The sequence below is a fragment of the Homo sapiens genome, chromosome 17 (assembly GCF_000001405.40).
Source record: "Homo sapiens chromosome 17, GRCh38.p14 Primary Assembly".
In the NCBI taxonomy this organism is placed as follows: Eukaryota; Metazoa; Chordata; class Mammalia; order Primates; family Hominidae; genus Homo; species Homo sapiens.
This window is the reverse complement of record NC_000017.11, coordinates 57,250,511-57,263,163: the sequence shown is the minus strand read 5'-3', so window position 1 is coordinate 57,263,163 and position 12,653 is coordinate 57,250,511. Positions and strand designations below refer to the sequence as shown.

The window sequence follows — 12,653 nt, the reverse complement described above, 5'->3', positions numbered from 1 at the left end:
ACCATTCCTCTCTTTACACGATTAAAAGGTTCCACTTCTGGGAGACTGTGCATAAAGAAATAAACTGAATTTGCTAAAGCCACAACCTTTTCCGACTTAGAAGCTTCAACTTTTCCCCTTTCCCTAAAAGAATGACAAATCCCGAAGATACATAAAAAGCATTTCTTCCAGTGCTACATAAGGAAGAAAAATAGTAACTAAAAAGTGTAAATGTAACATGTAAGCCATAAGCCCTTCCAATTTAACCTTAGGCTTCAAGCAACTGTGTTCTCATAGCCACACCTGGCAAGCTCAGTGAAAACTATGTTAACGACACACTTCTAAAAAAGTGAAGCCCTATCTCAATTCTTTAAGCAAGTCTTGTAGTGCCACTCCTACAAGGTTACAACATTTTCAGGACTTCTCCACCCAGGCACCAGCACTTGCACAAATAAGAAGCACTGTTGGTTTCAAGTATGCCCTGACTTATCCAACCAACCTAAAACCAAGATATCCACTGCTTGCCCTCCCAGATTTAAGGCTTTATGGGCCTAAGAAGTTGTCTTTTCCAAGAAAGGATCAGCTGTTTAGTCAAACTCTACTCCTCTGCATTAACTCCAAGTTGTAAAGCCTCAAAGAGTACCCTCCGAAAGAGTCACAAGGAAATGTTCGACTTTTCCTGATATGATATTGGAAATGCTTAAAAAACAAATAGAATCCTTGCAAAAAATACTGCAGTCGATGGAAACACGTCCTCCCACTAAGCATCAGACTTGTCCCTGCCCCCAGGTGGATGTTCAGAAGCCACCTTGGGATGGCTAACTTAGAGACGCATGGTTATCTCACAGGACTACTTGCCCAGCCTGTCCTGATACCCCGAAGGAACAGTGAATACCAGGCTTCAACAGTTCATGGCCAATGCTGTTTGAAATTTGAAATTCTTGGCAATCATCTCTGAGTGCTAAAATCCTACTGTTTATTCTCCTACTTACCTTGGGTTGCGCTCGACGAGGAAATGCAACTTTGGGGTCAATCTGGGAAAAAAAATAGAAAAGCAGGAGTCAATAAAGTACTTTAAGGAAAAAATATATGATTAATCACCTAATTATTAATCACTCATTTCTCAGGCTTATAATCCAGCTTTTAGTAACTTCTCAGGCAACTCAAAAGTTTCTTAAACTTTGATCTCAACTTTAACCATCCCTCCAACAGATCAGGTAACTAACATAGCTAGCTAGCCTTTCTGAAATGACCCACCATGCATTTCAGTGTGTGATGCTCTTAATAAACCAGATCTCATGTAATTCTTATTTAGGCAAGGGCTTCTTCTTCCAGACACTGAATATTAAATGGTATCTACATCTAATTTGCTATGCGTGGCTGGGAGAAAAGATGGGAGCATCATTATCATTGGGAAAAAAATCATAACCTGAAAATTAAATGTAAGTATTCTCTAGCAGTAGGTAATTGGATGGTATTTCTTCTCCCTGATGATAACTAAACAACACAGGAGGGAAAGGAGCTTCCAAAAATTTTTTAAATCAACAACATCCAAAAACTCCCCACAGACATCCAACACAGTGCTCTGCTTGAGTTAATTAATTCATTTTAGCAAAAGTAAAGTTACCCAGGATTAACCAAAAAGATCATCTGTTCTGTAGCTATACCTCAAAAGATAAAAAATAATTTTTTGAAGTAAAGAAAATGAAGCATGTGAGCTAAATCCACCTGGATTTTAAAAACAACAGGGAGTAAAAATCTATAAGCAACCTAAACCCAAATTAGAAAAGAAATCCCATCATGGGGAGGGCACCAAAAAAAAAAAAAAGTTACTGAATACAAGAAGTAGTCAGAATCTAGTGCAACAAGTAGGGAATTCCCCTACCCCAACCTCAATCCGAGTGGAAAAACATCCTCCAGTCCAAATCACACACTTGCAAAACGCATGATGCTCAATCAGGGTCTAGCTGTACAGCTCAGAACAGTTCTCCTGGAAGCATGTGAATCTAACAGGCTGATGTGAGGGAGGAAAAAAGTGACTGCACAGATAAAAAGAGGAGGAAAGAAATGTGAAAATATTCCCGTTGTCGGTTTTCATTGAATTTCTAAATGTCACAAATCTTTGGGTAAAAATGTAACACAGATAGTATAAACATGCTACCAGTTATTTATTTCCAGGCTTTGGCTTTCATATTAAAATGTTTTCCTTTTAAAAAGTAAATCTGAGCTTTGTTTTCACTTCTGCCATGAGAAGGAGCAGGGGAGAAAAGAGTAATGCTGTGGAGGAAAGTAGGGAGGTGGGGGTGGGGAGTGGGAAGCACGGAGGATAGTTCATTTGTTCCCTGACTTACATCACCTAGGGTCCCAGCCAGAAAGACATATGAGGATTTCCTGCTGTTATTACGGGGGCTTAAAGACCTAATAAAAGTCTGCATTGCATTCCCTACCTTTAAACATCACCTGAGAAATGAGAGATTACTTTTCAAAAACTAAAATAGACAAAAATCTCTGATCTAGAAAACTACCCTTTCATAAAGATTAACATTACTGCATCTACAGGTGTGTCCAGCACTGACTAGCGCTTGTCTACAAGAGAAATACAACAGGTGTGGATTTTCCATTCTGTTGACGTACGTAAGACAGAGGTGTCTTTTTATAAATACTCCCCAGAGGGTGTTTTTTTTAGTTGGCCGGCACACAATTGCAATCAGAAATCACCTTGTTTATGGGGTAACAGGTGTGGGGTATGTTGAGGGAGGTGCCAGGAGCTGGAAGAAGTAAGGTGCAATGAAGAAAGTGAAGTACTAAAGAAAATTTAAATCACAAAACGAAAAAGCCAATTCAGAACTCCTGGATGGTGTGTGGCCGTATCAGAGCATTATATCATGATCGAAGTTCCTCAGTGTGCAAAGTTTACACGCTGAGATCTCTGAAGGAGAGGAAGGGTCAAGTTAAGCATGGCAAATCCCAACCTTTTGCACATCCCTGTCAACTATTTTTTAAAAAACAAACAAAAAAGAAAACTACCAAAAATTAAAACATTAGTTAGTTAGGTACAGCTCTACTTACTGTATCTACAAGTCCTCTAGGAAAAGACTAGGGTACTATTTTGGATGTGAATGGCCGTTACCTAAACAAAGCTTTTAAGGTAACAGTAAACAAGATCCTCGTTTCCATGTCAATAAACCAACCGCTTCTGCCTCCTGCACTGAACGTTGAAACAAAGTCAAAAGCTAGGTTACACTAAATAATAGTGACCAAAACATGTCTATAAACAATCAGAGAGGGAAACTGCAGGCTTTGCACCTGATACAGAGGAATATGACCCACCAGCCACCACAGAAACCAAATACTGTTTCTCCCACCCAGGTAGCAAGAGGGGGTGGATGATAAATTCCCAAATTTGCCTTGAAAAGATTTTCCTCTTTAATTTCACTAGCTTTTTGAAATGGCTAGCCACGAAATCAAGGAGAGAAAAATTTTTCAGACATCTGTTATCATCCTACAAATCATTTCTGAAATTAAATTATCTAAAAGTACAAAAGGCTGGGCTGCATGCAAGCTATGACAAGTCCAGGACAATTAATAAAGCAACTAAGAGTGTAGGTGGGTTTCTTTCTTAGGAGAAGGCACGCATTCCTGATCTCTTTGATCAGAGAAAGAGGGTGAATTTGCAAAATCAATTCAAGTGCACCGAAGGTTGCCAGGTTTCTTTATTTGCTTTCCTTCTCTTCCATTCAATGTTAAAGCCAAAAGGGGCTTGAAAGATCACCTTGGTCCACTTATTTTACAGAAGAGGAAATTGAGACCCAGAGGTAGGGAATGTCTTGCTCACTTTCATAAGAGGCGGATGGAAGTAGAGCCCCATTTCTGGCCTTGTCCCACTACCCCATCACAGAGGAGTGAAGTTCCATGCAACCCAGCACTACAGCCCAATGTCATCTTAAGGCCTCTGTTTGGGGCAGATATATATTAATAAAAACCGTGGGGAAACTCTGGTAGACATAAAGGGAAGGGAGGAGAGGCAGGAAGCCCACACAGGGGCTAAATAAAACACTGCACACTCCCCCTCCCATTAAATGTATTGTTATATACAGACACTCTTTCTTCCCTTCCCCTTCTGACCTCTGCCTGGAGACTCTTCCCCCTTCTACTCTGGATTTTTAAAACTTGTGATGTATAAAAGTACCCATACTCAAATGAAAGGATCTGAGAAAGAAAAGGAAGGAAAAAAAAATCACTTTGAAACCCCCAGGCCTTATCAGCCTTAGATTTCATGCCATCTGGAGTCACCCCAGTGGATGCCCAGCTCAGCTCCGCCAGCGTCCCCTTCCCTTCCCAAAGCACATTCCAAATCCCAAGTGCCCCAAGAGAAACCTGTTGCCTGGACCTGTAATTAGCGCCCTCTCCCCTCCTTCCCACTGCTGTCCCCCTTGGCCACAAAGCAGGCTGTGCCTTCTCAAAGCTGATCCCCACAGCCACAGTTGGTAACGCGTGCTGTGCTTGGCTGACAAAGAAAAGTTGCATTTGCTCTCTGGTGGAGTTTCTCTGCACAGTCCCCAGGCCGGGAAGGCAGACTCTCCAGGAGCCGAACCCTCTCCTCCCCAAGCCTAACCTTGGCAGCCTCTGAAGCTGCAATGGGACAGGCTCTAAAAAGAAAACCCCAAAGCCAGCCACAGCAGCAAACTTTTGAGCCAACTCGCTAGCTCAGTTTAAAACTACCCAGTTCTAGCACAGAAGCAAAAGAAGGCACTGTCCCTTTAAATGGGGCTGTCAATGCCCAGATCGTTCCTGAAAAGGGGCGAACAACAACAACAAAAAGCAACCTACCGTCTTGGAATCTAACTCATGGTGGGGCTGACCTAATACTTTATCTACACTTGCTGGGTCTGCGAACGTGACGAAACCGAAGCCTCTGAAAGGAGACAAAGAGGGAGAAAAACAAACAAGAAAATGTGACACCATTGAAAGCAACCAGGAGTGAGACCTAAGGCTGAATGAGGAGCAAAAGTTGCCCCCCACGCACCCCCACCTCCCACTCCCCTCCTCCAATTCCCCTCCTGCCTACAGCCCTCCACCTCGCAAGAAAAAACATCAAGGTTAACGGGGGAAGTGGAACGGGGGCAGGGAGGGTGGAGGTAACTTGGAAAATGCTGGTGCCTCCACTCTTTGGCCACCTCAGTTTCCTCTCCTCCTCCCCTTCCCTTTCTTAACGCTTTGTTTTATTCCGAAGAAAGCCCGGCACTTAGAAGAGATTTACCACCATCTTTCTAAGAGGGATCTTAAGAGTTTGGGGAGCTGGGAGTGTGGGGGAAACACACATTAAGATCAAAAGAAAAAAAAAAACTATGCGAAAGTAAATGAAGCTGAATGTCATTTTAAACAGAGAAAAAGAAGCGACGGGAAAATGACTTAAAAGCAGAGAGATGGGTATCTCTGTATCCAGAGTTCAGCTCCAATTAACAATAACCTCTGGGGTTACTAGGGGGCGGTGGGGGTGGTATAGAGCGCCGTTCGAGATCAGCCACGCGCCTGAGCCCCATTCTAATCCGCTTAGCTACTTCCGAAGACACCTCCAAAAATAAAACTTAAACTTTGTTCTAAAATAAAGACAAAATCCAGAAGGGAATGGTTTACCTGGAGCGTTTCGTAGTGGGATCTCTCATGACCATACATTCTCTAATTTCTCCAAATTTGCTAAAATAGTCTCTAAGGCTATCTGTAGAGAGAGAAAGAGAGAGATGGGGGGGGGAGAGAAGGTGTGGAAAAAAAAAGCAATGCAAATTTTGATCAAGGACAAAATCCAAAAGTAGTTTTCTGTTGTTATTCTGTTTTGTTTTTGCATTTTTTGCACACGCGGGGGAAATTCGGCAACAGAGGTCGCATAGAGGGCTCAGAAAGGATTTGCTATTTAAAAAAAATAACCTTGCACAGGAGAAGTGGGGAGCCAATGGCGGGGGGGGGGGGGCTCCTACACCGGGATAACAAAGAGCAATAAAGAAGCCAAGAAGGGGGGGACCCAGGCGTCCCCCCCTCCCTCCCTTACCTGGTGAGGTCTGCCAGCTCAGTCCACCGATAAACATTTTACTAGAGGGAGAAAACATAACAGAAGTGAGCACCGATGTCAGATCGGCCATTTTGACGTGTAACTTACAAAAGCTAAAAGGAAAGCGGGGGGGAGCGAGCGAGCGAGAGCCGGGAGGTGGGGTGGGGGAGAAGGTGACGGCGAAATGCAATCCAAAGGTGTGTAACTTCCACGGGGGGGGCGCGCGGGAGAGGCGGGGGGGCGCGGGAGATGCCCGGCTCCGCGCACCGCCGTCCCCGCCGCTGCAAGGAGAGCGAGCCCAAGGCGGCGCGGTGGGCAGCGGCTGGAAACTTACCCGGGGTCGTGCTGGGAGTCGTTGGCGCTGCCCGAGGTGCCTTGGCTCCCATTTGCCTCCATATCTGAGCCCCCCCGCCCCCCCACCCCCAAAAAACCAAGCCCCACAGCGATCGGAGCGGAGCGGCGGCCGGCTCCGAGCCCCGAGATCTCCGCTCCCTCCTCCCCCTCCTCCTCCCCCCCGCCCGGGCTCCTCCGAATCTCTCTGCGAGCGGCGGAGCCGGGGCAGCGGCGAGAGCCGTCACACGTGGGCTCGGCTTAGCTCAGCCCCGCTGCCTCGCACACCCCCCCGTCCCCGCCCCCCCGGCCCATCCCCACCTCTCCCCCTCCTCCTCCCCACCCCCATCTCCTCCTCCTCCTCCCCCTCCTCCCCGGCGCACGTGGGGCGGAGTTCTAGAACGTCGTGTAACCAATGCCGGTGACGTCACGCACCCCCGTGCGGCCCCCGCCTGCCCGCGCGCGCACACTCGGCCCCCCACGGCCGGACCCACAAGGGTGGCGCGCGAACCCCGCGGGCGGAGGGGACCCCGCCTCCGGGCCGGCAGGGCGCAGGGCGAGGGGGAGCGCACCCCGACTTCCCTGGATCACATGGGCTGCGGGGGGCGGGTGGATCGGGGGAGGGGAGGCGCGGGGAGCTTGCTGCGGCTCCTCACCCGGACCTGGGAGAAGACGCCCCCCACCCTCTCTAGTTCGCCCTCTCCATTCAAGTTTGCCGGCCCCTGCCGCCGAGATCCGGGAATGGCACCAGCCGCCCGCCCTCCGCTGTGCCCTGTTTCCAGCCACCGCTCAGAAATTTAGGTCAAGGACGTCGGGAGCAAACCCACACCCTGGCGCTCCTTTGGCGGCCCCCGAGACGCCCCAGGATCGGGGGGCTTCAGGATGGCGGAGACCCTCCTGCACAAACACCAGCCACAAGTTTTATTTTCCTTTTGCGCTGGAAGTTCTCTCTGGCTCTGGCTCCACACCGGCACGTCTTGCGCGGTTCCCCGCCCTTCCCCAGTAGAGGTACCAATCCGTGCCCGGGAAAGGTTATTTTGGAACTTTGAGAAACTGACGCGATTCCAGTGGCGAGAAAGTGCCGAAGAAAGGGTTTCCGCGTTAATCATACAGTGTTTTAAAAATGTAATAAGATAGGTTATAGGAGTCAAGGTCACATGATTGAGGTTCAAAGCAAATGTTTGTATATAACGAGAAGTACTTTTGGGGTGTCTCTGGGATGGATGGGAAGGGTGGTTATTTCAGGAAACCCCTGTGTAATCCGTTCGTTATATATTTTATTTCTCACCCAGCCTTTGTATGCCAGGATAGTAAAGTGCATGATACTGAAATAGCCCAAGACCCCTCACGACCTGCAGAGGTAGCTAGGGTGGCAGAAGGCTTCAGAATCACTCCCACCTTAGCAGCAGTAGTATTGTGCAGCACGGGTTCTGGCATACAGTAGGTGCTTAATAAATGCGGTTTCATACCTTCATGCACTGAAAACTCCAAAAAGACAATGTCTGTAGCCTTCCAAAGGCATCGCATGAAAGTTTCTCCGGCAGATTCCAGACTGCCCAAATTCGGGCTGGTTTCAATTTATGGGGCATTTGAAACAATACGGATACAATTACCCATATTGTTTTAAATCTGTATCGTTTTAAATTGTTGCAATAAACTGAGTTAATATGGCATGAGGGGCAACATAAAGTTGTGGTTCATCAAATACTGAGATTAATGTTAAGCATGAATTGATGCCCAATTAACACTTTTCCATTAATTTTCATAGGATTAGGAGACAAAGGAATACACTCAACACCAAAACTGAACCAAATCCACTGTGGGCTTTGGAAAAATGGAATATTGGGAAAATCTCAACACCAGCCATAGCCTTGAGTGACCAGACCCTCAGTCTCCCTGTTCCCTAAATTGCAGTAATTCCTCCTTGACAGGATTGATGTGGTGAAGGTGAGAGGCTGAAGTGAACCAATGTTGTAAAAGTTCCTTTTTCACTGTAAACCTGAGTCGTGTTTATTATCAATCACTACTCAATATAATCATATTGAGAAGGTGCTCTAAGGCTTTAAACCACAAACCCAAACATTTCCTGTCACTCCAAGCTCCTTCCCAAATCATCTGGGGTCTCATGTGTTGAACAGCCAGTTGTTACAATGATTGTTTATTATGATTGATTATTCTAAACAAAATGCAGACAACAGAGCTAATTGTATTGTGTTTGGGATTTTTACAGTAGAACCACAGGCCATCCTAGGTAGAAAGGCCTTTCCTAATCTAATCCCCTCATTATACATCAGCGTCTCAGAGGTGCCAAACTCACCAGGCTACACCCCACCCCCACCCTCTGACCATCAGTCCAATGCCGTGTGGCCTCTGCTGCCTGCGTGTTTATTCTGTCCCTCACAAGGCGAGAGTTGGGGGCCCTTCCTGTCTGGTATAGACCTCCACAAGCTGACACTTATAGAACTGATTTAAAATCCAGAGAGGGGCTAGAGCTGCGGTTACAAAGTCAGGGCTTAGAAAGAACTGGATTTTAAGTCTCCATTACTACATTGTTTTTACTCATTTATTTTTAATTTATATACGGTAATATTTACTCTTTTTGGTCTGTAATCCTATGAGTTTTGACATATGTATAGAGTCATGTAACCACCACCATAATCAAGATGCAGAACAGTTTCATTGTCCAAAAAAATTCCCTCTTGCTGCCCCTTTGCTCTACATTATTTGTAATAGCTTATTATTATTATTATTATTATTATTATTATTATTTTATGCATTTTTTTTCTCCAGCTCACTCAATGTAGCCCCTGCATCAGGAGAATTCAAGCAGCACAATATCAGTCCTCAACCCTCTGAAAGTCTCAACAGCCCAAGACAATGTTGGACACTTCCTTCTTCAAACTCAATCTTCCAGGATGGGTTTAAACACATGGTGATGCCACTCAAATTGAAATCTCCAGCCCCACCCTTCCTGAAGAGCTCCAGGCTCTGGTCAATTTCCTATTCAACATCTCCACTTAGCCTTTCTAAAGGAAGCCCAAGTTCAAATCCATCTTTCTTGCTGCTGCATCCCAGATCTCCCACCTGAGGCCCTGCAACAGCTTACAAAACAGTCTTCCCACATACACCCTTACTCCACTTACATGCCTGGAAATCTTTCCCAGACCTCTCTGACAGGGTCGAATGCCCTTTGATATGCAGTTACCTTACCAGAACGTCCTCTGTGTACCTTACCCTGTATGATCATTTGCTTTATTGCCCATCTCCTCTAAGCCAGAAGCTCCCGTGCCTTTCTGCTCTCCATGTACTAGCACAGTGCCTGCTGGCGCACGGTTGACGCTCAATAAATAATGATTGACTGAATGAGTGAGTGGATGAATGAATGAATGATGGCCAACATTTAATTTCATTCTAGGATTCTTTTTGTATTCATGTTCATAAGTCAAATTGGCTGCAGTTTTTCCTTTTCTTACTGCCTTTGTCTGGTTATACTGGTCTCATAAAATGAACCGGTAAATGTTCCTTCTTTTTTCATTTTCTGGAACAGTGTGTGTAAGATTGGAATTATGTGTTCCTTGAATGTTTGGTAGTTTTGCAGGTAAATTGTCTGGGTCTGGGATAGACATTTCGTGGGTTGATTTTTAACTACTGATTCCATTTCTTTAATGCTCGTAGATCTCTTCAGGTTTTCTGTTTTCTTCTTGAATCTATTTTTATACACTATGTTTTTCAAGGAAATTATCCATACCATCTAGGTTTTCAAATGTGTTGACAAAATGCTGTTCATAGTTATCTCTTAATGTATTTTAATCTCTGCTCTATCTATCCATAATGTTTTTTTTTCATTCTAAATATCATTTTATATGTATTTTTTCTTATCTGGATCAGCTGTGCCAGAGATCTTTTTTTTTTACTAATGTTTTCTTTCTACTTTCTATTAGTGTTTCCAAAGAACCAGACTTTAGTTTCAATATTGTTTCTTTTTCTGTTCCAGTAAGTTTTGTTCTTATATATTATTATATATTATATTGTTATATATGGCACAATAGAAAATATATACTATTATATAGTTTGTGAGAATATAATATGTAATGTAATATTAATATATATCATATAGTATTCCCTTCTGCTTCTGCTCTTTTTGGATTTATTCTGTTGCTCTTTTTTTTTTTTTTTGAATTGTTGCCTTAGGTAATTAATTTTTAGCCATCTGTTTTCTGATTTTAACATTTAAGACTACAGATTTCACTTTAAGTACCACTCAAGCTATATTCCACAAGATATATAGACTTTTTATCACCAATGAGGTAAAAAAAGTTTAGATTTTAGGCTGGACACAATGGCTTATGCCTGTAATCCCAGCACTTTGGGAGGCCAAGGTGGGAGGATCACTTGAGCCCAGGAGTTTGAGACCAGCCTGGGCAACATAGTGAGGCCCCATCTCTGCAAAAGAAAACTTTTCTAGAAACTAGCCAGGTGTGCTAACATGCACCTATAGGCCCAGCTACTCAGGAGACTGAGGTGGGAGGATCACTTGAGCCTGGGAAGTTGAGACTGTAGCGAGCCATGATCATGTCACTACTCCAGCCTGGGTGACAGAGCGAGATCCTGTTTAAAAAAAAAAAAAAATTAGATTTCAGATACGATTTCTTGTTTGACTAGTGAATTAATACAGGTGTATTTGAGGGGTATTTGAGGTTATTCTTTAGTTACTAACGTCTAACTTAACTGAATTAAGGTCAAAGAATGTGATCTATATGAAGCAGATTCTTTGTTATTTATTGAAACTTGCTTTGGTGCAGTCAATTTTTATAAATATTTCATGTAGATTTGAAAAGAATGTATATGCCTTAATTTTTAAGTACAGCATTTTATATGGGTCTATTAGATCAGACTTATTAATTATATTGTCTAGATTTCCTGTAGCCTTACTAATATTTTGTCAGCTTGACCTGTTGGTTTTTATAGAAGTACATTAAAATTTCTATATGACTAGATTTGCCAGTTTCTCCTGTAATTCTCTCAAATTTTGCTGTATTTTAAAAGTATGTTGTCAGGTGCATCAAAAAGAACTGTTAAAATTTCCCACTGTAACTATACATTTTCTGCTTCTCATACTTTTTGCTTTGTGTATTTTAAGGCCTTGTTATTCAGTGCATACGAGCTTAGATTTGCTATTTTCCTAGGAATTATTCCTTTAATATTGGCACAGAAGATACTTATCCCTAATGCCTTTTGCTTTAAAGTCTACTTTGTCTGTAATAAATGTAACTACTCTTTTAATTAGCCCTTCACTTATAGATCTTTCTCTTTCCCTCTTTCCTTTTACTTTGAACCTTTCCATGTCCCAAATTTTTTGTTCAGTCTCCTGTAAATAGCATATAGTTAGCTCTGGTTCATTATTGTGCTAACTAGTAAGTTTAGTCCATTTACATTTATTGTGATTGCTGATATTTTTAAAGATCACAAAATATCACAATTTAGGGGCACAAAAATATATTAGTCACAATCTCTAGTATAACACACTATCATCATTGTGTATACTCATGGCCCTATTTTATTTTATTTGCTGATATCATGAATACCTGTAAACCTGCTATTCAACCAGAGAACTAAAACAGAAACAATGACTTGACTTATGTAACATCTGCTTATGTGTTCCTCCCTATTTTGTTCCTCTAAAGTAACCACCAGTCTGAATCTTGTATTTGTTATGATTTTTCGCTTTTTAAAAAGTTTTATCATGCATATCAATGACTAATATTTGTTTTGTTTTACTTTTTGTTTTGAAACTTTATGAAAAATTTCTGAGGCTTGATAATTTACTCAATATGAAATTATTAAGAATCAATTAGATCCTCTAGCCAGGGCCCTGGGGGGGTGGGGGGAACAAAATTAGATTTTTGTATCAGGTTGTAGTTCATTCTTTCTCCCAGTTGTATAATATTCCATTATGTGACTGTGCCACAGTTTAGTTTCTCTATTCTCACAAACAAGCCTTTGGGTTGCTTTCAGGAATTTTTTTTTTTTTTTGGCTATTATAAACAGTGTTATTATGAACATTTTTACCTTCTGATGCACATAGATCAGAATTTCTCTTTGGAGTAATTGCTGGGTCGTAACATACGTGAATGTAAAATTTTACAAGGTAATACTAAGCTGTTTTCCAAAGTGGTGTTCCAATTTGTACTCCTACTAGCAATGTATAAGAGATGCTATTGGCCGGGCATGGTGGCTCACACCTGTAATCCCAGCACTTTGGGAGGCCGAGGCCTTTTTTTTTTTTTTGAGACAGAGT

The 12,653-nt window shown here is 43.0% G+C and overlaps 1 protein-coding gene and 1 long non-coding RNA gene across 14 annotated transcripts in view, besides 3 other annotated features; one reads left to right on the top strand and one right to left on the bottom strand.

The window, feature by feature from the left end:
• Nucleotides 1–7,313, bottom strand: part of MSI2 (musashi RNA binding protein 2) — a 445,731-nt gene extending 438,418 nt beyond the window's left edge. For 8 of the 10 annotated variants that reach the window (XM_047435313.1, XM_047435314.1, XM_005257015.4 and 5 more), the window contains exons 1-5: nt 6,360–6,641; nt 6,026–6,066; nt 5,617–5,698; nt 4,810–4,894; nt 972–1,013 (exon numbers count right to left, since the gene is read on the bottom strand). In XM_047435313.1, coding sequence (XP_047291269.1) covers nt 972–1,013; nt 4,810–4,894; nt 5,617–5,698; nt 6,026–6,066; nt 6,360–6,421 — 312 coding nt within the window. In that variant the 5' untranslated portion in view covers nt 6,422–6,641. Of the gene's footprint in view, nt 1–971; nt 1,014–4,809; nt 4,895–5,616; nt 5,699–6,025; nt 6,146–6,359; nt 6,642–7,182 lie in introns of those variants that run through there. The other 2 variants (NM_001322250.2, NM_170721.2) reach the window with 2 other exon arrangements.
• Nucleotides 2,879–3,402: an enhancer, noted in NCBI's record as "NANOG hESC enhancer chr17:55337123-55337646 (GRCh37/hg19 assembly coordinates)". NCBI's record gives its function as "activates a minimal SCP1, AML or CMV promoter by ChIP-STARR-seq in primed H9 embryonic stem cells {active_cell/tissue: H9 hESC(primed)}" and the evidence as "EXISTENCE:reporter gene assay evidence [ECO:0000049][PMID:30033119]".
• Nucleotides 4,389–4,478: an enhancer, noted in NCBI's record as "active region_12427". NCBI's record gives its function as "activates an Ori minimal core promoter by ATAC-STARR-seq in GM12878 lymphoblastoid cells {active_cell/tissue: GM12878}" and the evidence as "EXISTENCE:reporter gene assay evidence [ECO:0000049][PMID:35858748]".
• Nucleotides 6,168–12,103, top strand: LOC101927510 (uncharacterized). 4 transcript variants are annotated; one of them, XR_007065860.1, is made up of 3 exons: nt 6,168–6,222; nt 8,124–8,302; nt 9,146–12,103. It is a non-coding gene; the product is annotated as an uncharacterized LOC101927510 (long non-coding RNA). The 4 variants fall into 4 exon arrangements; XR_934879.3 differs by lacking the exon at nt 6,168–6,222 and adding an exon at nt 6,876–7,363; XR_001752946.2 differs by lacking the exon at nt 6,168–6,222 and adding an exon at nt 6,934–7,480.
• Nucleotides 6,457–7,086: a silencer, noted in NCBI's record as "silent region_8747". NCBI's record gives its function as "represses an Ori minimal core promoter by ATAC-STARR-seq in GM12878 lymphoblastoid cells {active_cell/tissue: GM12878}" and the evidence as "EXISTENCE:reporter gene assay evidence [ECO:0000049][PMID:35858748]".
• Nucleotides 12,104–12,653: the final 550 nt, after the last annotated feature.